Source organism: Homo sapiens, chromosome 18 (genome assembly GCF_000001405.40).
Source record: "Homo sapiens chromosome 18, GRCh38.p14 Primary Assembly".
Taxonomy (NCBI): domain Eukaryota; kingdom Metazoa; phylum Chordata; class Mammalia; order Primates; family Hominidae; genus Homo; species Homo sapiens.
In genome coordinates, this window is record NC_000018.10 from 54,708,794 (window position 1) to 54,736,236 (window position 27,443).

Below are 27,443 nucleotides of genomic sequence, written 5' to 3' on the forward strand. Positions count from 1 at the left end.
AACTCTCTCCCATCTTTTAAATGTCAGCTCAGATGTTACTTGCTAAGGAAAGCCTTCATCATACTCTGATAGATTTGGTTCTATTGTCAATTGCTTTCAAGAGTCATTTCCCTTTACTTTCAAGACTTCACCTCAGGTTGTAATTGAAATTTCACAGTGATATTGTTTGATAGATGTCTGTCTCCCACAGCAGACTGTGGGCTCCATGAAAGTAGACTGTCCATAGCTTTGTTCATCCTCATATTCTCAGTGCCTAACACAATAGTTGAAACATAGTAGGCACTTAATAAATATGTTTTAAATAAATGAATGTATCTTCTCATGAAATCTTCCCATATGATCTCATTTTAGTGATACCAGCAATATTGGAACACCCCATGGGGTATGATGAGCAGACTGAGGGCATCTTCTTTCACTAGATGTGCAAGCTCTTCTGTGAATTAACTCTTTAAACCACAAAAGCACATTCCTAGTTTTCAGAAAACTGGGACATGATTGAACACAGTTGGGATAAAAGGGCTTCCCCTATTGAAACTCACAGCAGCTCAAAGTAAAATTTGACAATTCTTTTTTTTTGAGACAAAGTCTCTCTCTGTCATACAGGCTGGAGTGCAGTTGTGGGATCTCAGCTCACTGCAACTTCTGCCTCCCAGGTTCAAGTGATTCTTGTGCCTCAGCCTCCTGAGTAGCTGGGATTACGGCCATGTGCCACCATGCCTGGCTAATTTTTTTTTTTTGTACTTTTAGTAGAGATGGGGTTTCACTATGTTGGCCAGGCTGGTCTTGAACTCCTAACTTCAAGTGATCTGCCTGCCTCAGCCTCCCAAAGTGCTGGGATTACAGGAGTGAGCCACCGCACCCGACCGAGAATTCTTTTAATAATGACCTCCAGTTTAACCCTTCTAATAGTGTGAATGCCAGGTACACTAAATGGTAGAAATATGAACTGGGGTCTTCCCAGAAACTTTCTGCTACAACTTCTTGTGAAGGCAAGAGAAGGCTTAGCTGTAAAGAAGCAATAAGGCATATTCACTACATATCTTTTAGCAATTATTCTGCAATCATGAAAATTCTGAAGAATACCAAATAACTTCAACACCTTTAACAAAGAATTCAGTGAAGATGAAAGTGTTTTGGAAAGTAGATTAACTAATTATTGATATACCATAACTGTTACAGTAGATAGCGAGTCAGGCATGAGCGGGGCAGGAGAGCCTCTGCCTCCCTAGGAATATCAGGCAACCATCAGGTGATGGCCAAGCAGTTATTACACTGCTTCTCTAAAATAATAATTGGTCACTGCTAGTGCGAGGGAAAGGCAGTCTCCCAGTAGAAAAACCTGAAACTGATGGTCAATAGGTTCCTGATAAGATCTCAGGAGTTGGGCGAGTGGGCTCAAGCATGCACATTAAGAGGTAAAGTGACGGAGTTGAACTGTTCCTCGTAGGAACATTCAGCTGGTAAGGGAAGAACGCCTCAAGTGAGTATGCATACAACTCCAGTAAACACACTGTGCATAGGGCCCCTCCCAAGTGCTAGCAGGCCACTGTGCATGCAGACAGCCCACCCCAAGGCAAGAATCAGGGGAGAAAGGAAACAAGACCCCAGAAGTATGCCAACATATAAAACCCCAAGTCAGAGGTCAAACTGTGCACTTGATCTCCCAAGCCACCTGCTTGGCCCTCTTCCAAGTGTACTTAGCTTCCTTTCATCCCTGCCCTAAAACGTTTTAATAAACTTTCACTCCTGCTCTAAAACTTGCCTTGGTCTGTCACTCTGCCTTATGACCCCTCGGTTGAATTCTTTCTTCTGAGGAGGCAAGAATTGGGGCTGATGCAGACCTGTATGGATTCACCACCGCTAACATAACCATATTCATTTTCCATCATGTTTTTATGACAACTAAAAGCTATATTATGATGATGATGATGATGATGATGATGATGATGATGATGAAGTTCCTCAAAATGGGGCTTTGTTATGTAAATAATGAAAAAGTCACTGATGGCAACTGATGAGATTATTTGTGGCCATTTTTTGGTCTTCATTTTCATAGACTTTAGAGAATGTGTTTTCAAGATATTCTCAAGGTGACCTTTCCTTGGTAGAGCATACCTTGCATGCCATTAAATATACAGACAAACTGGGTATGACTCCTTCAGTCTGGTTAGGAATTTTTGTGTAGAGCTCTCCTGTCTATGTACATTTCCTGGACTCTACTTAGCCTATTGGCAAAGGTGCTCTACGCTATGTGTTTAAAAGCATTTATATTAGATGACACTGCTTTAATTTATATTACATATAGTGAGGCAAAGTCCATGTTAAGTCCTTTCCTTGTGCCATTATAAATGTTTAATTTGGTTCAGGACAGGAAGGCTACCGAAGTTATATCCAAACAAAGCATATGATGTATTACAAGGGAAGTCTGATGTGATGAGGATACCACCTTGGTCATTTTAAAAAAATGCTAGTTACATTAGAAAGCATAAGACATACACTTTAAATCTTTTACCTCAACTTAAAATAGATAAATGTTAACTTATTTGTCACTCTTTTACAATGAGGACAAGTTCTTTCCTTTGAGTGTGTATGAGTATCAAGTGTCTATAATTTCTAGTTTTAGTTCTGTTAAGTGGAGCAAGAACACAAAACCCTTGCAAAGCCATCTGAATACATAATTCTCTATTATTTTTGTTTGTTTGTTTTCAGACACAGTTTCACTCTCGCTGGAGTGCAGTGATGCAATCTTGGCTCACTGCAACCTCCACCTCCCAGGTTCAAGTAGTTCTTGTGCCTCAGCCTTCCAAGTAGCTGGTATTACAGGTGTGCACCACCACATCTAGCTAATTTTTGTATTTTTAGTAGAGACAGGGTTTCGCCATATTGGCCAGGCTGGTCTCGAACTCGTGACCTCAAGTGATCCACCTGTCTGAACCTCCCAAAGTGCTGGGATTACAGGCATGAGCCACCATGTCACAAAATTTACTTTCAATCCTCTAGAATATTTTGGGCCCATAGCTGATTTGGCAACAATTTATTTTAGCGAATCATCTTTATCTAGTTGTTACAAAGCATTACATTTATTTTTCTTAGAAATAGTAACTCTCTTTTGCACTCATATCTTATCAGTATAAACACCTTTCAATTCAATTATATAGTTACACTAAAAATACATCCAACACTAACAGCTTTGGTACTATACGCTAATGAATCTTGGTTTACGTGTAACTCAAATAGAGTGGAAGAACACGGACATGCTTGGGAGTAAACACTAGCCTTCTACATGTGTGGACATCAGTCAGCATGTTTTGTTGAGTAGATTGGAGTAAGTCGGTTAAAATGAGGAGCATTGGGACTGGGGGTGAGGCAAAAGTGATGGCAATGATGATTTATTGAAGCTTCTTTAAAAGAGCTTTACTCTATCTACAAATATGAATTATTCTCAGTGTTGATACAAATAACATAGTCACACAAGATGTTGAATATATTGTGGAATTCAAATATTTAAAAGAACGGTGGGGCTGGTAAGAAATGCATTTGCAATGTAGTATAATGTAGTATAGTTTCATCTCATATCTTTTTCTTAGATGAGTCATGTTACTTGGTGTTATTATTCTAAGCATTTGATCACCCCAGGTCATGAAAAGCATGACACACTTGTTTTGAGACAGAAAATTTCTCTTACTACATGAATCCAGAAAGCACATGATTCACATTTTATATGCCTTTGAAACGGGAAATGTTCCCTTGTTCCCCTAGCAGGGTGTGTGATGGGGGTGTGGCTCGCTTCTTCAGTGCCTGCTGCTCAAAACTCTAGGGGAGCCCAGAGACAGGCAGGCTGTGGGGCTCCAACCTCACTGCAGTGTCTAGGCATGAATGTTTATAGCTCCTGAAGCCCCAGTGGGTTTGTGTTACAGGGTGCTCTCTTGGTTTGCTGTCTATAGGCAGCTTATGTTAACCAGCTCAATTAGACTCTACACCTTGTCACAAGGACAGAGGGCATTCTGTATCCTGGGTTCTTGCCTTGGTGTACCAGAAGAATCGGATCACAGGTGGGCTTGGAGAATGAGTGCCAAGTTTTATTGAGTGGAAATAGCTCTTCACTGCTGGATGAGCCAGAAGGGAGACGGTTTTCCCCTGGAGTTGGGCCGCTCAGGCACATGCCAAACTCCGCCTCTCCTGCAGGTGGATGGCCTGCCAGTGTGCCAGCGTTTGTTGGTGTGCTCTTCTGCCGGCATGCTCCCTCCGTGTCCTCTTGATGTCCAGCAGCTTGTCTTCTTCCACTGATGTTTTCCTCTCGCCCTCCAGCAGCTTTCATCTCTGCCTTGCTAGGGTCTCAGCTTTTTATAGGCCCAAGAGAGGGGTGTGGTGGGCCAGGGTGGTCTTGGAAAATGCAACATTTGGGCACAAAGGCAGAAGTGCCTGTCCTCACCTAGGTCTGTGGGGCTAGGGCCCTAGCCAGGGACCTGCCTTTCTCTACCCAGCATTTCTCTACCCTCCTCCTGTATCACCTTGAAGAGGTAGAGGTTCTGTTTTATTTTAATAACCACCACAATTTATTTAACCATTCCTTGATCCACGTATAGAATATTCATGCTAAGCACTCTGCATGTATGATCCTATCTAATCCTAAACAAACTCTTTGCAGAGGTATTATTACTGGATTATACTTATGAAGAAACTGAGATTCACTTTGTAAAGTTTCAAAGTGAAAGAAGCTTGAAAGTCATTGCTGTTATCAATGCTGCACATCTCCAGAGTGGCAGCCTTTGGCTTTATGCTACTAAATATAGTGGTTTCCTTTTCTAAAAAGAAACACTTTTTTTTTTGTTTTGAGATGGAGTTTTCTTCTTGTTGCCTAGGCTGGAGTGCTATGGCATGATCTTAGCTCACTGCAACCTCTGTCTTCCGGGTTCAAGTGATTCTCCTTCCTTGGCCTCCCGAGTAACTGGGATTACAGGCATGTGCCACCACGCCCGGCCAATTTTGAATTTTTAGTAGAGATGGGGTTTCACCATATTGGCCAGGCTGGTCTTGAACTCCTGACCTCAGGTGATCCAGCTACTTCGGCCTCCCAGAGTGCTGAGATTACGGGCGTGAGCCGCCGTGCCCGGCAGGTTTTCTTTTTGTAATGGGGAGCTATTCTGTGCTAGGCCTTTAAATGTAGTTGACATGGGGTCATCACAAGAAGCCTATGAAGTACTACTTATTAAACTATATGGAAGCACAAAGTGTCAGATTTAAATCCAGGTCTGTAGTCCCAAAGTCAGTGATTATCCCACTCTATTCTATAACAGATACATTTGCATATGGCACCTGACTGCCACAATTCACTAGCACGTGAGTACACATAAGGTCACATATAATTGATAACCAATCCCACAGGATCTGAGCCCCCCTTCACCGGCTCATCCATGAATTCCAGCTCCTTACAATGTCCTTCACTGCACAGTCATCTTGAAAAGCCACAGACTGGTCCAAGTCACACTGTTCTTATAGTCACCATTGGCTTTTGGCAAGTTGAGCCCAAGATCTGTGATACCAGCACCCCCCTTTACAAACCTGGGCACTGTGACACAGCTGTCCCTGCAGAACCAGCAGTTCCTGACCTGATGGGGGTCCCCAGTGATTCTTCCAGGCACTGAATCTCAACACACCTGTGTGAGCCAAGCAGACTGAAAGGGAAGAGGATAACAGCACCCACACATTTCAAGTTTTCTCAGGGCCAAAATACTACAGAGTTTATGAGCTATCTATCTTAGTCAATTCAGGCTTCTGTAACAAAGTGTAGACTGGGTGGTTTATAAACAACATAAATTTTCTTTTCACAGTTCTGGAGGCTGGAAGTCCAAGATCAGAGTGCCAGCACAGTCAGGTTCTGCTGAGGGTTCTCTTCTGAGTTGTAGGCTGCCCACTTCCCTTTCGATCCTCACATAGCAGAAAGTGGGTGAGAGAGCTCTTGCGAGTCTCTTTGATAAGAACACTAATCCCACCCATTAGCGCTCTACCCTCATGACCTAATCTCTCAATGACCCCCACATTCTGAAACCATCACATTAAGGGTTAGAATCCCAACATATGAATTCTGGGGGGACACAAATATTCAGTCTATTGCAGTATCTTAGGGTTTTCAGTTTGTATGGAGTCTTTTTCTATTACAATCATGTCCATCTCAGTCACAAAGATCTACAAAGACCCACCACTCCCCTCTACCCGCAGGTCCTGTGGTGAGGTCTGTTTCCTCAAGCTGGGATCCTTCTGATTTATGGTGACATGTCTCTCAGCAGCCTCACTTTTCTTCTCTCCACCTGGAGTCATTGCACAGATGACATGTCAGTGTATGTCTGAGGCCCAATCATGGACATAGTGCTTTGTTTCTCAGGGAGCTCTCCAATATTATAAAAATCAGTAGCTACAGAGAAATGCTTAATGGTGGGGCATTGCCTCCCTCACACACTAGCCACTCCCCTTCTGCAGTCCAGCCCATTCACCACTTTGTAATAACAAGGATCTAATTGAGGGTACATTAGTGTCCTTTGGTGCTGATCAACTTCTTTAAAAATAAAAAAAGTCTCATTTCAGAAAACATGCTGAATTAGGAAGAAGTGGAAAGAAGTGCAGTGGATAAGCAAACCACAATCCTCAGGCCTCAACGAGGCATTCTTTCATTGATCACTAATCACTCTGGGTTCACCTGACTCTAGTCATCAACATGGCTCCCTAGTCTTGAAGTTGTCCAACCACAGTCAAAGCTGTTTGACCTGCACATGACAAACAGGTTGATTTCTGGATCCTTAGATCCTATAAAAACATCACTGTCCCTTGTGGTTGGGTTCAGTCTCACCCCATGCCTTTTGGATCTGTACTTTTTCCATGAGAAACACTAGCCTTGAGTTCTCCACAGCAAGAGTCTTACCTTGATTTTTTCTCTCCTTCCCTCAGAAGCCCTGAGCCTCAGCCTCAATGGCACATTGCCTTGTTATGGGCTGATATACCTTGTTACTGCTACTACACTTCATCCTGTGGTCTGAATGCCTGGACCACAAGGTATGAGCTGCCCTCCCTGCTCTGGAAGGCAACCATCTCTTGGTGGAGAGGAACACTCTCCTGATGACTACTTGCCAATGTGAGGCTTTGATCCAGGGCCTACAGTGCCCACATACCTGTACCTGTACTCCCTGTCTTCACCTGTCTTAGTACTGGTATTTACTCTGCTAACCAATCTTACTAGAGTTCACTTTCCATATTCTAGTCCCTTCTGTACCAACCTGCCCACTGCCACCTGAACTCTATGTACTCTGGGGAAAAAAAGAAATCAGTTGGGTTGAATTCTCAAACCCAATTGCCCAGTTCCACTCCATACTCATAACATCCAGACATAGAAGCCCTTAGCAAATATAGCATATTCTGACTTACATTGTCCATTCTTTTATGGCAAGTATTTTATGTACATGTAATTATTTGATTATACACATACACTAATATTTTTCTCTATATTTAAATTATAAGCTCCTGGCTGGGCACAGTGGCTCACACCTGTAATCCCAGCACTTTGGGAGGCCAAGGTGGGCAGATCACTTCAGCTCAGGAGTTCAATACCAGCCTGACCAACATGGTGAAACTCTGTCTCTACTAAAAGTACAAATATTAGCTGGGCATGGCGTGCACACAAGAATTGCTTGAGCCTGAGAGGCAGGAGGCTCCAGTAAGTTGAGATTGCACCACTGCAATCCATCCTCAGCAATAGAGTGAGACTCCGACTCAAAAAAATAAAAAATAAAAAATTATAAGCTCCTTAGAGGCAAACATATACTTAGCACAGTCCCTTATTAAAAGTAGTTGTGCAGAGAAGTATGCTAAATTGAATTTAATCACTTACAAGATTAACTTCTGTACCCGTATTCTATAGTGTAATTTCTCAGCTTACTGCCTCATTTATCTTTTCACAAATATTTACTGAGGGCCTGTTGCATGCTGGGTAATCTTCCAGGGGTTACTTTATCAAAGTCAATAGAGGCTGGGCATAGTGGCTCATGCCTGTAACCCCAGCACTTTGGAGGCCAAGGCAGGTGGATTGCTTTAGCTCAGGAGTTCGAGACCAGCCTGGGCAATATGGTGAAATCCCATCTCTACCCAAAATACAAATAATTAGCCAAGCATGCTGGCACACCATTGGTCCCAGCTACTCTGGAGGCTGAGGTTGGAGAATTGCTTGACCTGGGAGAAGGAGATTGCAGTGAGCCGAGATGGCACCACTGCACACCAGCTTGAGTGACAAGAGGAAGACCCTGTCTCAAAAAAAAAAAAAAAAAAAAAAGTCAGTAGAACAGATTCCTTCACAGATACTACATTGCAGGGGAGTTCAACAATAACTAAATTACAAAATATAAATGTCATGATGGGGAAAAGGTGGGGGGAATGAATAGAGAAAGATGAAGAGTGGCGTTTACATGAAGTGACACTTGAACGTTTTGTCTCTTTTATAGAATAAGTTTCTGGAGGTCTCAATTTTGTTTGTTTTTGCATTTATTTCATTTTAAATGTTTGAACAGCATAAGCTACTAACGGACTTTTTAGGCTTTTAGCAAACACTTTTTGCAAATAGTTACGTAAATATATCAGACTTTGAAAACCTCCTACTTCTTAATTTTTTTCCCTTACACATTAAACATGGAAAAAAGAAAACAAAACACATGGATTTTAGTAGATATAGGATATTATCAAATTAGTTTTCTTTTTAACAGCCCTCTGGCTTCAACATTTTCATGAGCATCATTTATTTAACAGACAAGATCATCTATAATCCTTTTTGGTTTCAACAGCAGTGTCTGATTGACAGTAGCAAACTCTATTTACTGATCATTTTTCCCAAACCCAAACCCCACTGCCCTGATGCTTAGCTGGCTGACATCCCTGAAAATCTTTGGTGATAATCATTAGAAGAATCACCAGAAACAGGGAGGCTCTTTGGAGCTACCTTGTGTGCTAACCTGGCGCAGGCACTAGGACCGCCCAGGAGCCGATAGGCAGCCACGCTTCACAGCCTGTCAGAGGGACTGAGCCGCCTTTGCTGTTACACAGGAAGAGAGCAGGCAGCATCAGTATCGGCTCAGCATCCTTCCCCCTTCTGTTCGATTAGAAGGTATTTACTTGCTATTTATCACTCAGGCTTTGAATACTGTCACGTGCCTTTAGTGTTCCCTTAATATGATGCTCTGAAATGCTGTCCAGCACCTATTGGGTTACTATATTATTTTATGTTAATTTCCACAGCTGATCGAAGCAACAGTGCCATAAAGAAATGGGCTAGATATTTCCAGAGGCTGCAATCTGGAGGCGTTTGGAGGTGTGAGTACGTTGGTCACAGATCTCTAATGTGTTGGCTGTATTAGTCGTGTCTCTTGACCTTCCTCTTCTTCGTTGAAAGAGCCAATGTGAGATGCCATCTGCATATTTCATTCATAAAGGAAATGCAACTAGATGGTGACAGAAACCGCTAATGATGGGCCTGAAACTCTACTTTGGAGTGGCTGTGGTTTCCTCTTCCAGCCTGTGGGTTTGCAAGAGAAGCTGGGTTTGCAACTGAGTTTGAATGGGAAAGAGATTTTGCTCAGGGCTGCAGACTGCGTGCATGGATTCTGCTTTCTGTTTTCAAAGCTCAAAGACTGTCCTTTCTAATCATTGCCATGGTGCAGTGTTGGAGTCTTTTTATGCTTTCTTTATTTCTGCAAATACTCCTATCATAGATGTAGACTGCCAGAAAGCTATTAAGTCATTTGGTGCCCCACAGTGTAAAGCCACTGAAGAGAAATCTAGTTTGCTTTTTCTTAACCATATACCATATACTTTTTCCTGACTCAATACCACAGCTAGTAGATGGCACACAGAAACATTAAAAAACAATGCTAATCTAAGATTCTTTTTTCCTGTTCAAAAATAATTTTGATTATGCATGATAAGAGAGTAGTTTGCTATTAGAAAACCCAAATGATTATGATTTTATGGGGGAGATGGAAAATTCTTTTTGAGTATTTTACAAATCAATTGAAGGTGCTTTTTAAGAGCCTTGGTGCCAATTTTATGCATTCAAGGCTCTTTTAATACTTTAAAGCCTTCCCAAACTGTTAGATGTGGTTTTGACCACAGTAATTAGTTTAAATTTGTATACATTATGCCAAAATGTAATAGGCAAGTGTATTCATAAATGAACAAAATATTGAGTTCTGCTAGTGGACAATTCATGGTAAGATAAACATGTAAGATAAAATTCATTGTAAGATGAACAGTACCAACAAAATTTATTTCAGGAAAGAAAATATTTAACTAAGACACAATGCAAGGCATCAACATTAAAAGTGTGACTTTAATGAAAAACATTTGTTAAATAATTTTTAAAATACTTCTAATGGTTCAAAAAAGTATATGTTTAAGTTTCTTGTATTTGATATATTGAAATATCCTAAATGTGATTTCAAAGTGTTTAGGTATCAAAGTTTTGAAAATGTATCTATAGTTCCCTTAACACTCTTTATTTGGTAAACAAAAGAGGGGCAGAGGATATGAGGGAGAAAGAGACTAAGTTTTACTTTACTGTTTTTTAAATATTTTGAATATTCTGATATAATATTTACTATATAGGTATGCTACCTATACTTTTTAAATGTAACTAAAATTACTAATGATTGTAATTATTAACTTGCAGTATCTGTAGCAAATGAAAATAAATATATCGAAAACATGTTTATATTGCTATATAACATTTCTTAGGCAGAGAAAGTCATTTTTTCTAGATAGTGATTTGCTTCTGAAGGAAGTTAGGGAAATTAGATTGGGGGTGGTAGTAAACTTTCATTAGTTTCTGGGCAAAAGTAATTTTTTAAACCTATTTTTGCATTGGTGCACCTACAATTTATTTTCAAGTTTGTGTATATTACATATCTTCATAAACTTTGTGTTATTAAAGTTTTCTCCTTTCTCTTTTTAAAATGCTTCCTATATTCCAAGTCTGTAAAGATGACTCAATTCTTCAAATTAAAACTTAGTTTTGAAAATTCCTACCCATCATATAATGATTTGCAGCCTTAAACTTCAGTTTCATGTCAGACTCATCATTACACATGTCTTGTTAATAATTTTAAATAACTTCATTTTATGTTAAGTATAAAGATTCATTGAATTCAATGATGATAGGGGAAAAAGTCCCAAGAAGTATGTTTTTATTCAGAATTTGACAGACACACTTTTCAGGACATGAATTTTGAACTTTCTTCCTGAATTTAAGTCCTAAAATTAAGTCCACTGGCTTGACCTAATCAAATGAAGACAGTTGGCACAGTGCTTAGCAGAAGTTCAGAATTACTAGCAAACAAATGGGACTTAAGCTAAGAAATAAAATGTAAAGGCTAAAATGAATTTGTTAGAATGTACAATCACTACTTTGTCAATGAGTTTGATGCCTGAGGTTATCCCAAGGCCTTGAAAAGTCTTGCAGCCCAAGAGATTCAGGTAGATATCAATATTATACAGATTTACTTGGTAGTGTTAAGGTTGACATTTCTAACAGATGGATTTTAACATGCATATTTTTAGCAAAAATAGTTCCAATAAATAGTAAATCTCATTCCACCGATTTCACCAACAGCAGTACTTTTCCATCCAAAAAGACAGACAATATTCCCTAACAGAAATTCTTTCATGAATAGAATACTTAGACATTTCTAAAAGACAGATTTTACATTATTTCTACATAGAAAAATATAGCATTTACAGTACTAAGCCATCCAGAAGAAGCTAACATAAAGGAAGAAGTATCAGCAAAATTATTCTAGTATTGCAGTTTGCTTTTTCAAATTTCTTTTTCTGAGCATCTGTATAAGTAAGAAAATATATCTCCTAGTAGAAACCACAGAAAAATGCAATAAGTCATCCAGGGACCAATGGTAGACCTGTGGGAGACAGTGTTTACTGAATGGATGAGAAAAAGAAATGTGGAAGAATAACAAACGGTCCTTTTTTATTTGTCATGAAAGATAATTCCAATTCTAATATGAGTTTTTAAGAATCTGTTGGCCACATACACATGCCACAATAAATAGGAATTACATGTAACTTGAGATTTTCCCATTATGATTTCCCCTTAAATAAAAGACTTAAAGGAAAGAAAATGAGAGTATGTAAGTGATGTGTCATCTCCACATCAGTTATAGTTGTGTGAACTGGGAGGCACAAATTATGTATTTTGTTGGAGTTTGGCCAAAGGGAAAGTTATTATCCATCATATAGTTTGGGAAGAAGTTTTTCTCCAGAGAAAAGGTTTTGTTGTTTCCAGAACTGGATGTTACTTATAAAGAAATAAGTTTATAGATATGCAGAAAGCTTTTAAATATATGAGATTCAGTTTTTGAGTGTAAAGGACACATACGCAATGTGTTCATACATTTGTTGATATGCAAGTTTATCCAAAACATTGCTTTAACTTGTCCCTCCTGGTTGACACAACTATAACTGATGTGAACATGGGAGACGATTAATATACCTTCACTCCTTTTCCCTTAAATATATTAGTTGATAGGGAGGAAGTTAACGCTAAGGAAACTTGTTGATAAATATTAATCATGATTTCACAGATGTTTAAATTGCAAATAAGATTTGCTCTTTCACATAATAGTGAACGTTGGAGTTTGCAGGCTGGAATCAGTGTAACATTTTTTGGACACAGCAATTAATGTCTTTGAATTATTTTTCATTAATATGTATTAATGATCTCTTGCTGTATTGCAAGTATGGGAGTTGGAGCAGTAAACAAGTTATGTCCCCCCTTGCACAGTTTCCATCATTTTGTGAAGGAATAGAGGCAAAAAGCAAGCAATTAAATATTATTAACCAAATGCATTGTTACTAAAATTATGTTGTTATTATTACTATAATTTATTGCCAATTAAATAAACCAGAATATATCTGATGAGTGCTAACTGGAAAATTAAAAGAGGATACTGTGATAAGGAATGGCTTTGTGGCATTTTCAGTTAGGGTTGTTTGGAAGACTTCCTGAAAAAGTGATGTATCATCAGGGATCCAGGTGAAAAAGTTAGCCAGATAATGAGAGGCACGGTGCTACAACAGCAAGTGTGTGGATTTAGAAGCAAACCTGCTGCAGTTTAAATCCATTCTGTGTCATTCTGAAACTTTGAAATCTTGAGAAATTTACCCTTGGAGCCCGTTTCATAAAACGTTATAGAATTTTGACAAGAGGAAAAATGAGATGATATATGTTGACTTTCTATGACACTATGGAAGAATTTAATTTCCATGATGACTTACGAAGTGCTACAACTTTATGAACTAACTCCTTCAAATACTTCATCCAACAAACAAGTATTTGATTGTTTTACCACTCCTGTACCGCTTTCTTTAAATTTTTTGGGTGAATTCTGTCACAGAGTTGAGGGAGAAAAGACTGGCACTTCCACAGACAACAGAAAAAGAAAGAATTGTTTCCGAATCTTCTAAAGAGCAAGCCTCAGCTAGGATCTTTGTTAGATGCAGATGTTATTAATTTTGCTTATTTCCCCAGAAACCACCAACACACTGGTTGATGGGTGTTGATTATGGTGCTGCTCCTCTCAGGCAATGCTGTAGTGAGATGACTACATCCACGGAGGTTAGACATAGCCTCTGGAAGGACTGTGCTTACTGGGCTCAGCCCATCACATCCCACTTCTTGAGAAGTTGAGTGCGATGCACATGGCATTTCATAGTGCACAGCACAGCTTTCAGGCTCAAGTAGAAGAGGCAATTGATAAAGATCAGTATTTCTTTGATAAATTTATGGATAAAGAAGGTAGTTCATTGATACTTGGAGAATTCACATCTAAAGATGCTTGGGGTTTTGTCATCTCATAGGCGTGCAGCCATGAAATACATACCTGCACACAAACATGCACATGTATTCCCCCAAGCAACTGCTATACATTTTTTTAAGTAGAAAATTGCTATGGTGTGATTTTAAGTATTTTCCTTCTATTGTTCTTGACACTACAGTTATGCATAGGATCAAAATGGTTCAACAATATTTTTCCCCAGTTATTTCAAAGGAAAACCTTCCTCCTGGAGTCTATCAGCTAGCTGTATTTGAAGCTACTTTATCAAACAAAAGTCAAAACAGAAAACTAAACTAAATTTTTTTTTAAATGGAAAAGTCTGGCATAGAAAAGAGGCATGGTTGGGGGAAAATGTCTGTGATGGGTTTGGACTTGATTGAGACAACTTTCCAATCTTGTAAAAGAAAATGGAATTCCCCTGAGTGGCAGCCACAGACAAATTGACATGTTCAGGCTAAAATGTGTCCTTGTTCAGAACCAGGAAAGAGCAAAGGCTCTTGCTGGGGATAAAATAAGCAGTGGGAGAGAGGTGGGCCAGGAGTAAAACTCAAGTTTATGAGACCTTGTGCTGCTACTGTTTAAAATCTACCTGCGGCTCTGAGGTGCCCCACCGGCGTGTTATTGGAGATGTAACTTGATCTACTTGGGGCCTATTCTTTATTGCTATGTATTGGGATTGGGTTTTATGATAATCAACAGTATCAGGTAGTTATTTTGTCATTTTCTTCAAAAATTTATCTATTATTCAACTATTATGCTTGGAACAATTCTGGAACTTATGTTTATTGCAAATAAAACATCAGAAATGTGGAAGGAATAAGTGAGTTCAGGAGGTCTACTAATCCCACATATAGTATAATCCTGAATATAAGTAGTAATATTGACTGTAAATAATAAAAAATTTTATTAAGATTGTATAATTCTGAGAGAAACAATAGATAGCTAGAGAATTAGATAGACATAGATAGATAGATAGATAGATGATACGTAGGTAGATAGATAAACAGATAGATAAAATCCCTAGTAACACATCAACATTTAAAGACAATCTTCAAGGTATGCATCTAGCAGCTTGCATAATTTTTCTCTCCCACATTTTAATTCAGTCAATTGAGTACTTATTTAAAACACCAAATTATTTACAACTTTGTTTTAATTATGACAACTATGATTCCTTCCAGTGTCACTACGAATTAATCTACCAGTAAATGTCATAAAGCAATAAGGGCAACAGGTCATGAAATATAAATATATTTTTTCATGTAAATATTTATTTGCAAAGACGAGACTATAATCCAACTGTTGGATGGCGCCAGAACCATGGCATAGTGGCCAAAATGTGTGCTCTTTAGGGAACATACTTTTATAAATTCATATTTGGTTTTTCAAATGTGATTTTAGTGGTGAGGAGTATCACGTGTGTAAATGTGGGGAATTTTTATTTACATCAAAAGTTGGATGTCAAAATAAAGGTAAAACTGGCTGAGTCTCACAAAATATTAATGAAGCAGGAAAAATTTTAAAAATTTTAGAAGCATCCAAAAATTCAACCAGGTCAAGAAAGACATGACTTAGCAACAGCATATATAGAAAATTACTTAGTAGTTTGAATTCTCAGTAAACTCAATGTGAGTGGACAATGCAATGTGGCTACTAGAAAAGTTAATGTTATGTGGCTACTAGAAAAGTTAATGCATGCTTAGGCTACACTAAAGGGAACAAGGTATCTAGAACATGGGAGGTGACAGCCCAATAATACCGTATTACTGGCTGGGTGCCGTGGCTCATGCCTGTAATCCCAGCGCTTTGGGAGGCTTAGGCAGGGGGATAACTTGAGATCAGGAGTTCGAGACCAGCCTGGCCAACATGGTGAAACTCCGTCCCTAATAAAAATACAAAAATTAACCAGGTGTAGTGGTGTGCTCCTGAGGTGGGAGAATTGCTTGAACCTGGGAGACGAAGGTTGCAGTGAGCCGAGATCACACCGCTGCATTCTAGCCTGGGTAAGAGAGGTATCAAAAACAAAAACAAACAAACAAACAAAAACCTACTATACTACTGTATTACTCAGTGATTCTGTTTCCAGTTCTGGGCTTCTCACATTAGGAGGGCTCTAGATTCATTAAAAACCATATCAAGGAGGTTTTTAAGAGGATGGAGAAGTTTCAAACTTTTTCAAAGGATGAACAGAGGATATTTTGTTTGGTGAACAGAATGGTTAAGAGTAAACTTGATTCTTACTTATGATCTGTTGTTAACAATTTGAATGCTATTACATGAAAGAGGAATGAGACTTGTACTTTAGGGCGCAGTAAGAGAACTTTTCTAGACCAATAGTGGAATCTCAGTGAGAGCTCAGTGGACCTCATTAGGGATGGTGACTCCTGTGGCAGAGAGGTGTGTTTCATGGCAATGTGGTGCAGAGGGAAGAATATGGTTTGAGGAATCAGATAGATCTGAGGGCACCTCTAAAGGGTGCCACTTATGACTTATCTCTGTGATCTATACTTTAAAAGAAAAATGGAAAGAGTGCCTTTCAAGGTTACCAGAAAGATTACATGAGATAATATATGTAAAGCACTGAAAACAATAGGTATCCTGTAAACGTTAGTTCTTTTTTTTCTTCCTTCTGTCTCTGGCAGTGATTAACCTTTGAGTGAGAACCATTTCAGGGTGAGTTTACTAAGGATTCAAGTTTCCAAACAGTGACTGAACTACGTGACTTCAATGTACCTTACTTACCTCATTGAAATTCCATGTAAAAACTTAATACTGGATTACTTTATAGGAGTTGTGTAAGTTCTTTAAAAGGTAATGTTTGTTGCCTGTATTAGTGCATTCTCATTATGCTATAAAGAACCGCCCAAGACTGGGTAATTTATAAAGGAAAGAGGTTTAATTGCCTCACAGTTCGGCATGGCACGGGAGGCCTCAGGAAACTTGCAGTCATGGCAGAGGGCACCTCTTCACACGGTGGCAGGAGAAAGAATGAGCCTAGTGAAGGGGAAAGCCCCTTATAAAACTATCAGATATCGTGAGAACTAACTCACTATCACGAGAATAGGACGAGGGAAACCACCCCCATGATTAAATTATCTCCACCTGGTCTCTGTCACGACATGTGGGGATTATGGGAATTACAATTCAAGATGAGATTTGGGTGGGGACACAGCAAAATCATGTCATAGTCTATGCAATGTGTTCATAAACACTAGCTTATAGAAAATGTAAAGAACTCTTTGGAATCTAACTTGTTATGGAAATCATTGGTGAACCAGCTGCATAATAAAGTGAAAGAAGATAGCTTCAATATATTGATACTTCATGACAGCTCATCTATGAGACCTGCAGATGTCCTGAAAGTTAGAGTGGAACTAATTTAAAACATTTCACTTTACATGAAACAGACTGTATTTTTATAAGCAAGGTCCAATATACTATAAATCTACTTTTTAATGTTAAGTTGAATAATAATTCAAGTAAGAAAGACTCTAGACCTACTCTTTCCCCCAAGTTACTCAATAGCCTATCGTATTTTAAATAAAAACTCAAGTATCATAAATCTGAGGGTTGCAAAGTATATTTAGTATTCCAGTTTAAGTTATCTAGGTGATACTGCCATTAAACTGATGACGACAACATTAAGAAAAAGTGGTTGGCCGAAGAGAATTTTGAATACATCTCACACTGAAGTATGACATCATTTTTGCTTGTTTTCAGGTTTCCAAAAATTCATGATGTTTAGCAGTAAGATTTTCCCCACAGCCTGCCTTTTAAACTAGCCTGAGTTATGAACATCTATCACACAGACTCCATCACTGTTCTTCCTGTTCGCTAACATTCAGCAGAGTTGATTTCAAATTGTTTCACAAAAAAAGCCCTGTTAGGAAGTAGATTTCTAATTTCACACATGATTAAAAGTAAACACACAAAAAGGCCATTTTACCCATATTTTGAAGGGCACATAGGTTTAATTCTACAGTAATAATACTGGAGGAAACATTGTTTTAGGTCCTTGTAAAACATATTATGATTTATATGATTTTCTTTGTATAAACACTTCTACCTTCAAATTGTGTCATTAATTTTACAGTAATTTCATTTATTCTGTAAGGGCAACTCTACCTTTTCAACCATTATGCCAGTTTTGAAATATATCTATTTCGTAAACAATCTCTAGACTGCTAATGGGTTTTGCATGTTGGCAAGGATACAGCAGAATAAATAATAACTAAAAATCCATGTTGACCTGTTGTCTTCATTGTCATATCAAAATAAGATTTTAGTTTTTTAAAGAAAGAGTTTCTATTTTTGTTTGTTTGTTTTGAGACAGAGTTTTGCTCCTGTTGTCCAGGCTGGAGTGCAATGGCACAATCTCAGCTCACTGCAACCTCCGCCTCCCGGGTTTAAGCATTCTACCTCAGCCTATAGCTGGGATTACAGGCATGTGCCACTATGCCCGACTAATTTTTGTATTTTTAGTAGAGACAGAATTTCATCATGTTGGCCAGGCTGGTCTTGAACTCCTGACCTCACGTGATCCGCCTGCCTCGGCCTTCCAAAGTGCTGGGATTACAGGTGTGAACCACTGTGCCCAGCCCAGAATTTATATATATATATATTTTAAATCTGAATGTGTTAAATACAAATTGACACAGAACAGTAGAGAGTCAGGTGTATATATAAAATGAAAAGCAAAATGTAAGTCTAAGACACAGAAAATTTTGGAAAGCTAACTTTGATTTCAAATTCAACTTCCTAAATATGATTTGGGATTTCCTTAGTGGGTGAATAAGGGCAGGCAATTAAGGTCCATTCTCTTACTTTTCAAGAGCTTCAGTTCTGGTAGTGGGGTGCCTCGGAGGCAGATAGCAAAAGTGTATGCATTAAAACAAGTTTTGTGTAAAGGATTTGTTAGACAAAAAACCAAATATTTGTGGGTGAGTTCTTAATACTAAATAAAGATAGTTGTATATTGTTTTAAACAAATTTAGATTTGCCTTTTAGATATAATCACATGCATTACTATAAATTATTTTTTCCTTTTAATATAGTCAGGAAAAATCCACAGCATTTAGCAACAGCATACCTTTGGATAAAACTGCTTATAGTTATATGTTTCGTTTCAGCATCAGTGAGAAAATATACATTATTATGCCACCGTTTAAAATGCTGGTGCTCCTTTATTTTATATAGTGTTTTATTGCTTCATATGTGGAATATTAAAATCACCTTAACAGCTAGCCGGATGAGATAATCACACTCCACGCTACAGCTCCCTGACTACAGCTAAAAACTCTGCATAAAATACGGCAGGTTTGAAGGTCTCTGCAAGGGCTCTGAAAAGTGGATAAGAATAAGAGGACTTACACGAAAGCCAGAAATAGAGGGGAGACTGAGCAGTACATTTCCTGGGGTTTTAATTTATATTTTGTATATACCAACAGGCTCCAGATCAGTCTAAGCTGCAGAGCTTTGAATAGGAACACACCAAAAAAGCTCCAGAAAAATTCACTTCCTCTGGCCAGAAGATGGGAGTGGGGTAGGGGTGGGGAGGCTACAGAAAAGCCTTTAGACTCTTGGCCATCTCCATCCAAGTGTCAGCAAAGAACTAGCAGCCCTCCCCTCCCTCTCATGGGGGTGGCGTTGGGGATGGCAGCCTCAGTGGGGTGAAGTTTTTGTTATCTTTTACTCTTGCCCCCCTCAGCTAGAAAGACAATCTCAGACCCTGAGGGGTGAAGCCCATGGTAACTGTCAGTCCAGAATCCTCTACCTAGCAAAATTAAATCTCTCAGAAATAGAGCAAACTGGGAAAATTATCAAGTGAAAACTAAACAAATTCATCACTAGTAGGTCTACTTAAAGGAAATACTAAAGGAAGTTCTTTGAGTGGAAGGGAAATGGTTAAAAGGGGGAACCAGCTGGCTGTGGTGGCTCATGCCTGTAATCCCAGCACTTTGGGAGGCAGAGGCAGACTGAGCACTTGAGGTCAGGGGTTTGAGACCAGCCTGGCCAACATGGCAAAATCCTGTCTCTATCAAAAATACAAGAAGTTAGCCAGGCCTGGTGGTGCACACCTGTAATCCCAGCTACTTGAGAGTCTTAGGCAGGAGAATTGCTTTAACCAGGGGGACAGAGGTTGCTGTGAACCAAGATCACACCACTGTACTCCAGCCTGGAAGACAGAGTAAGACTCTGTCTCAAAAAAAAAAAAAAAAAAAAAAAAACCCAAAAAAAAAAAAAAAAAAAACCACCACCAAAGGAAACCTGCCTACAAATTCAGGAATTTTTGTTTAAAAATTAGTAGAAATCTTAAATATCTGAGTATACAACATGGGCTATTTTTCACCTCTTATATTCATTATAACATATAAAACTATTAAAAACAAAAAGCATAACATTGCCTGATGGACTTTTTCACAGGCTGACGTAGTTACCTGTGAAAACTGTAACATCAAGGAGACAGTCTACGGGTACTTATTTATTTGTAAAGTTTCTATTTATTAGTGCTATTTGGAATACAAAATATCACTCTAACAAGATTAGGGAAAATTAAAAGGGAAGCATAAATACAAGGGGCCTAGAATGATTAAGTTTAAATATTTACCTAGTAAGAATTTCGAGATAAGAGACTAGGGAGAAAAGGAGAGGAGTGATATTCTAAGGGTTAATGACCAAGAGCTTTCCTGAAAAAGGCCGGAAGGAAGATACTAAGCACACTTAACCCCAAGAAGGATATCTAGAAAGGAGCCTACATCCTCAATATATTAGAGTTAGATTGTGGAACACCAATGACAAGATAAAATTTGAATGAGTTTAAAAGCAAGGTGGATGGAAAATGGAGGCAATCGTTTGATTTATAGCATTCTAAAGTATCTTGTATTGCTTGAGAAAAGGTTAATTCTGTTCATTAGCTTCAGACTTTGTTAAGACAAGTGTGTTATAAAGTTTTTGAAAAGGAATAAGAGGGAATTTTTAAAGCCTGATTAACCCATAGAAAGCAGGCAAATATAATAGTAAAAACAAGCAAAACAACAACAAAAACTTAGTAAATGGAAAGCACAAAATAAATCCACCATCAGAGAACATGATACTATAAGTGAATTAATCTAATCAACTTTAGATTTAAAAAAATAATCCACTTATGTGCTTCTTATAAGAGATACCCTTAAGACAAAAGGACAAAAAAAAAATGTTGAAAGTTAAGACCAGCCTCACATTAGTGATTGTTCAGTTAATACCATTTGCCTTAAATGACTCTCGAAGAGTTCTAATTTGCTGAAGACTCTTTTTCTCCATTTGGTATAATTTGCTAAGGAAAGATGCAATAAGAAGTGATAATTTGGGTTTTTTTAGGTAAACTCATGCTCACCAGTTTACTTAATATAAAATTTTCTGGTCAGAAAATATCTCAAAAAACAAATTTATATATTCATAATTCTAATTGTACATTGTGTTTGGGTAAACCCAAACAGAGTGAAGAGGTTGTATCTTTTATGACGTTTTAGTCTGTCACGTACATCACTGTTTCCATAGATTTAGGAAGTGCTCTTGTGTTTAGTTTTTATTTTGCCCTGAAGACGTTATCTGGACTTATAACTATGTTCAAGTGTATTTGGAATGAAAAATTAACCATAAGTTCCGAAAAGTTGAAAAACAGGTGCTGACATGGACTGCGCCTTCCGACAAATGCATGGTTCTCCGCCAATGCCCTCCCGTCATCAAGTCCTCCTCACTTGACAAGTACAATAAACTGTCATCATGCTATAGTTATTAGCGTGCTGCATTTACTTCTTTTTTATTTTTTAATTACCTATATGATATGGTTTGGATGTGTGTCCCCTCCAAATCTCATGTTGAAATGTGACCTCCAGTGTTGGAGGTGGGGCCCGGTGGAGGTGTTTGGGTCACGGGGGTTGATGCCTCATGAATGGCTTGGTGCCCTCCCGTGGTTATGAGTTCACATGGGAGCTGGTGTTGATGGAGCCTGACTCCTCCTCCTCACTCTCTCGCTCCCTCTCTTGCCATGTAATGTGCTGGCTCCACTTCACCTTCTGCCATGAGTAAAAGCTTCCTGAGGCCTCACCAGAAGCAGATGCCAGCACCAGGCTTCCTCTACCTCCTACACAACCATGAGTCAAAATAAACCACTTTTCTTTATAAATTACCCAGTCTCAGATATTCCTTTATAGTAATGCAAGAACGTACTAACACACTACATGAGTTTGTTTACATTGTTACTGTTTTTCTCTCTGTGAAAGCTTTTGAGAATCTAGAATTGGGATAAAACACATTGTCATTTTTGCTACTGAAGTAATAGTCATATGTATTTTTTCATTTGAAATTATTTAATTTGGCAATAAGGATTTTAGGAATAAATTCATATCACTAAATAAGGGATAGGTATAATACACAAATGTCTAACAAGCAGATATGAAATGAAGGCTGGAATAGCAATAATCATAGTAGGGAAATAAATTTTAAAGCAGAAAAAATTTAGGATTTCAAGGGACTGTGAAATAATTGTAAAAGTTGTAATTCATTAGTTCAATATATGCTGAACCTGTAAGTACCTGAAGATGTAGCCTAAAATGTATTAACAGAATATATAGAGCAACAAAAAAATGGGCAAATCCATAGTCATAGTGAGAGATTTGACCAAAGTTCTTTCAGAAACTGGGCAAAAATTCATAATGATATAGGAAGTTTGAACAACACAATTTAAATCTCAATCCAATGGATGCATATGAAATCTTCACCCAATCTGCCAGGTGTGGTGGCTCATGCCTGTAATCCCAGCACTTTGGGAGGCTGAGGCGGGCAGATCACCTGAGGTTGGGAGTTGGAGACCAGCCTGACCAATGTGAAGAAACCCTATGTCTACTAAAAATACAAAATTAGCCAGGTGTGGTGGCGCATGCCTGTAATCCCAGCTACTCAGAAGGCTGAGGCAGGAGAATTGCTTGAACCCGAGAGGCAACAAGAGTGAAATTCCATCTCAAAAAATAACAACAACAAAAAAAGAAAGTTATTCTTTTTTAAGTATACATACACATTCTTTTTAGGCATAAACATTTACAAAAATGTACTAGGTTCCAACACAAAGCAAGTCTTAACAAATGACAAAGATCAATGTCATACAATTAACATCTTTTACTCACAATGTTAAAAAATTATTTTGTAGGCTATTTTAACAGAATCTTAGGACATAGAAATTTGTATGACCTTTAACAGACTGCTTCAATTTCTGTCCGTGATAAGTTTTAGTTGTTTAAAATTTCCCATTTGTCTAAATTCAAACTAGATCAAAATTTTATTTCAGATCTTTAGCAACTTTGCTGTCAGTATAAAAAAGGTGGGAAGACATACTGAGTATTGTGTAAGCTCTCTGATAAAGAATGACCATTTTTTATGTCTTGGCAAGAAGAAAACTCTAGGAAAGATATAAATCTTGTCTCATTCTATGTGCATATCAAAAGTTATCTATCTAAAGAACAAATGGCTCAATAAAAGAGTGATTGCTCCTGGCAAAGTTATTTAAATGGTACTTTTTCATTTAGAATGGATCATGATAGTTGATATCACAATGAAAAGATTTGGTGTATTCCAGGTCTGAGTTCTTTTCAGAATGTTCAAGTTTATTTCTTTCAATAATACTCTGCCTCTGTTAATATATTCAAACTTTACAGTTTTGGAATATATAAAGTGATATTTGAAAGAGACATTTGAAATCTTGGCCAACATCCCCAGTTTAGAAATAAGAAGCCTGAGATTCTAAGTGGTCAGGTGCAGAGTCCGGTGTCACAACACATCATTACTGGAAACAGAAGCCATGGCTTATGATTCTTAACCAGGTATTATTGTACCATAATATAGTTTTGTTAAAATATAATTTTAAAAGAAAAAATAATAACTCTCAGGAAATATATAATCAACATGTGTAAAAGAATTTCTTTAGCTTATTAGTTAATAAAGAATATCAGTAAGATATAATGACTAGTTCAGAGAGCATTTAAGAAATTAGATATTAATCATCAATTTTAAAAACAAATATTAGGATAAGATTGCTGAGTTAAAAATAAAAGGTATTGAGGTTTTCTGTTCCACCAGACAAAAGTTATTTATATTTCTACAGGACCAACCTCTATAGGTTAACAAGCAACTTCACCAAATCTGGGACTTTTAATCAATAGTAACCTTGATACAAACTAAATCCCTTCCCTTAGACAATCCTAAGTGGCCTTTTCCCCCATATGTTATTGAAACAACTTTCTGCTCATCTTTTACCTTATTTTCATGCTTTAGATTAGATCAACCAACTAGGTCTATATGTCAAATTCAACTCATCACCTGTTTTGTAAATGAAGTCTTTTTATTTTTTATTTTTTTAGAGATGGGGTTTTGCTCTGTTACCCAGGCTGGAGTGTGGTGGCATGATCATAGCTCACTGTAACCTCAAACTCCTGGGCTCAAGCAATCCTTCTGCCTCAGCTTCCCAAGTAGCTGGGACTATAGGTGCATACCACCATGCCTGGCTAATTTTTAAAAATCTTTTTTAGAGATGAGGTCTTGCTATGTTGCATAGGCTGGTCTCAAACTCCTCAGCTCAAGTGATCCTCCTGCCTCTGCCTCTCAAAGCACTGGGATTACAGGCATGAGCCACCATACCCAGCTGTAAATGAAGTCTTCTTAGAGTCCAGGTTTTATCTGATTATTTCCAGGGGTGCATCCATAACATTAATTAATCATACAGTTCTTATTGAGTTTGCTCTGCCAGTGTAGAACTCTACAATATTGAGCAACTACTGAGGTCACAAAATTCACTTCTGTCTAGAAATTTTCAGAAGGAACTTGAGTTAGACTCTTGATCTCTCTTGTTCTTCTTTTCTAAGGCTAGGAAACCAACCCCAAAACATTCCGTCCACTAGATTTTTCCTGTAGTACCTATAAATTTAGGTGAAATCTTCTGTTCTAGAGCCCCCCCCCCCCAAATTTGCTAAGCTCCTTGGCCTTCCAGAAGTTTACTTCTTTCCTATTCCCTGTCCTAGGACTCTAGAAGCAGGTCCTGCATCAACTCACATATGTTCCTTAATGGTGAGTTGCTGCCATACTTGATTAAATATGAATCCCTCTCAAATATGGCACTCCAAGTGTAGATTTGGTTGCTACAGTGATTTAGGCGGTTAAGTTCTGGTAAAAATAGGCAGAGATTCTTATCAATCCTATGCAAATAACTTATTACCTTGGAAAGTAAGAAGAGTCTAAAAATATTTGGTTCCAAATTTTGAGTGAGTCAGTGACACTTAGGTATCATTTAGAACATTTAAGTTTACAAAAGCATAATCTACTAAGGAAAGGGTTAAAGATAGCTTAAGAAGAAAGATAGTGGTTCCCTATATACTTACTAAAAGCAGAAAATTAAAACAATGTCAGCCATATTCCAGACAAATAATCACAATTAAATTTTCCTCATGAGCTCATTTAGTCCTGGTGATTAATTTTTCTTCTTGCCTTGGATCTGAGGTCAGCGGTCTGCCTGTGTGTAATACGTCTGCTAGTGGACTGAAAGGAGCCTAGGAGATGATGACTCACTCCACTGTAGAGTCGGAGAGTTGTCTAAGCCATGAGAATTTGGAAACCTATCCCTAAGAGCCTGTTCTTTGCAGAGTACTTGATACTGTCTCTTCTATGAGACTCTGGAACTGTCTTTTGTGCCAGACACCAATTCTAGCCTATAACTTAGAGCAGAGACTTCAGGCAAGCACCAAGAAGCAGAGATCTATTTGATGATGAGACTGATTGGCTGTGGTTAATTTATTACAATAACCAATAATATAAGGACAAAGGACAGTAAAATCCTCCCATAGGTTCTCATAATGACTTGATCAATGTTTTCTCTGAAGGTAAGATTAGATTATGGAAGGCACTGAAGAATCTCCAAAGCCTTTTTAAAAAGCACATAATTTCTGATATATTTATATGAATATTTTAGTTATATAAATAGCCTAAGGAAGCCTGGGCATCTCTTTTGATTTTATTATTCTTTCCACAAATCTCTTGGAATGGTATTGAACAAATTAGTAAATATGAAGCCACCAAACAAACCTAAGTATTTCTAGCATCTCTCGTTTTATAAGATAAAAGAACAAATTTCTCAAGTGCCCTCTATGAAACCTGAGAAATAATTCTGTGGGTGAATTTTAGGGGATCCAAAGCTGAAATATAATTTTGAAATTATGAATCTCAGACAAACATAAATGTACATATGTGAATAATTTTGTATAACACATTAATTAATAAGAACTAGATTTATGATTGGTTTGGGAAAATGTGAGAAATTATGTGTATCTAGACAATTTAACAAAGATTTGTTAAAACAAAATTACTGAGTCACATTATAAAACTGGCCAATATCTACCATAAATCTTTGGCATTACTTGTTCTGCCAGGCAAAAATTATTTGCATATCTAACAGACAAAACTCTACCAATTAACAAGTAATTTTACAAAGACTAGAAACTTTCATTAATAACAAAAAATGAGACAAACTAAGTGCATACCTGTGCTGTGCTGTCCAGTAAGGTAGCCACTAGCTATTGAAACGTGGCTACTTAAATGTAAATTTAAATTAATTAAAATGAAATATAATGTAAAAAGCAGTTCTTCAGTCACACTCTCCACTTTTCTTGTGCTCAGTAACTACACTTTCTGAGGCTACCACACTGTACATCACAGAAATTTATCTGGGACAGAGCTGTGCCTATCTAGACGATGCATGGGTGACCATGGCCCTTATATGATATTACTGGAACATGCTGACCACATTTTTGCCTTATTTCAGATAATTTTTCTGACACTTTTTTTTTGAGATGGTGTTTCACTCTGTTGCCCAGGCTGGAGTACATCTCAGCTCACTGCAACCTCCGCCTCCTGGGTTCAAGCAATTCTTCTGCTGCAGCCTCCTGAGTAGCTGGGATTACAGGCACCTGCCACCATACCCAGTTAATTTTTTATTTTTTTATATTTTTAGTAGACAAAGGGTTTCGCCATGTTGGCCAGGCTGGTCTTGAACTCTTGACCTCAGGTGATCCACCCACCTTGGCCTCCCAAGGTGCTGGGATTAGAGGTGTGAGTCACCACTCCCAGCTGACACTTTTGTGATAGAATTTATAACCATTTAAAAGTAAAATTAGGTAGTAAATGCCTGTTGCATGAAAGGACTTTTCATATATCAGGACCATGCCAAACTGGATAATTTTATGAGTAAACCAAATGATACATAATATTTTTGGTAGTGTCACATTTTAAAGAAGTGGCTTTAGAGCAACACACACTTTAAAAAATGTATAATATTACCAAAATATAGTATGTATTACTTGGTTTACTTGGTTTCATAGGGGTTGATTCAGTTAACCTCTACAAAACCATGCAAGTTGGGATATTTGTGAATGGTCTGATAAAACTGAGTAGGGTCAAAATGGGAAGATGTGAGGTAAGGCAACCGCAGTATCTAAGAAAATTTGTGCTGCCTTTTGCTTCATGTAGAATTTTATTTTTCTATGC

The 27,443-nt window shown here is 38.0% G+C and overlaps 1 protein-coding gene across 7 annotated transcripts in view, besides 2 other annotated features; it reads left to right on the forward strand.

Annotated features, from left to right (window-relative positions):
- Positions 3,545–3,839: a silencer, noted in NCBI's record as "tiled region #14135; HepG2 Repressive non-DNase unmatched - State 10:DNaseD". NCBI's record gives its function as "represses a minimal TATA promoter and a strong SV40 promoter by Sharpr-MPRA in HepG2 cells {active_cell/tissue: HepG2}" and the evidence as "EXISTENCE:reporter gene assay evidence [ECO:0000049][PMID:27701403]".
- The window catches only part of RAB27B (RAB27B, member RAS oncogene family), a 177,660-nt gene continuing 159,280 nt past the window's right edge, over positions 9,064–27,443 (forward strand). For 5 of the 7 annotated variants that reach the window (XR_007066208.1, XM_017025913.2, XM_006722518.2 and 2 more), the window contains exons 1-2: positions 9,064–9,142; positions 9,274–9,348. The gene's annotated coding sequence lies outside the window, so the exon portion shown is untranslated. The remainder of the gene's footprint in view (positions 9,143–9,273; positions 9,349–27,443) is intronic. The other 2 variants (XM_047437725.1, XM_047437726.1) reach the window with 1 other exon arrangement.
- Positions 25,325–25,619: a silencer, noted in NCBI's record as "tiled region #5858; HepG2 Repressive non-DNase unmatched - State 24:Quies". NCBI's record gives its function as "represses a minimal TATA promoter and a strong SV40 promoter by Sharpr-MPRA in HepG2 cells {active_cell/tissue: HepG2}" and the evidence as "EXISTENCE:reporter gene assay evidence [ECO:0000049][PMID:27701403]".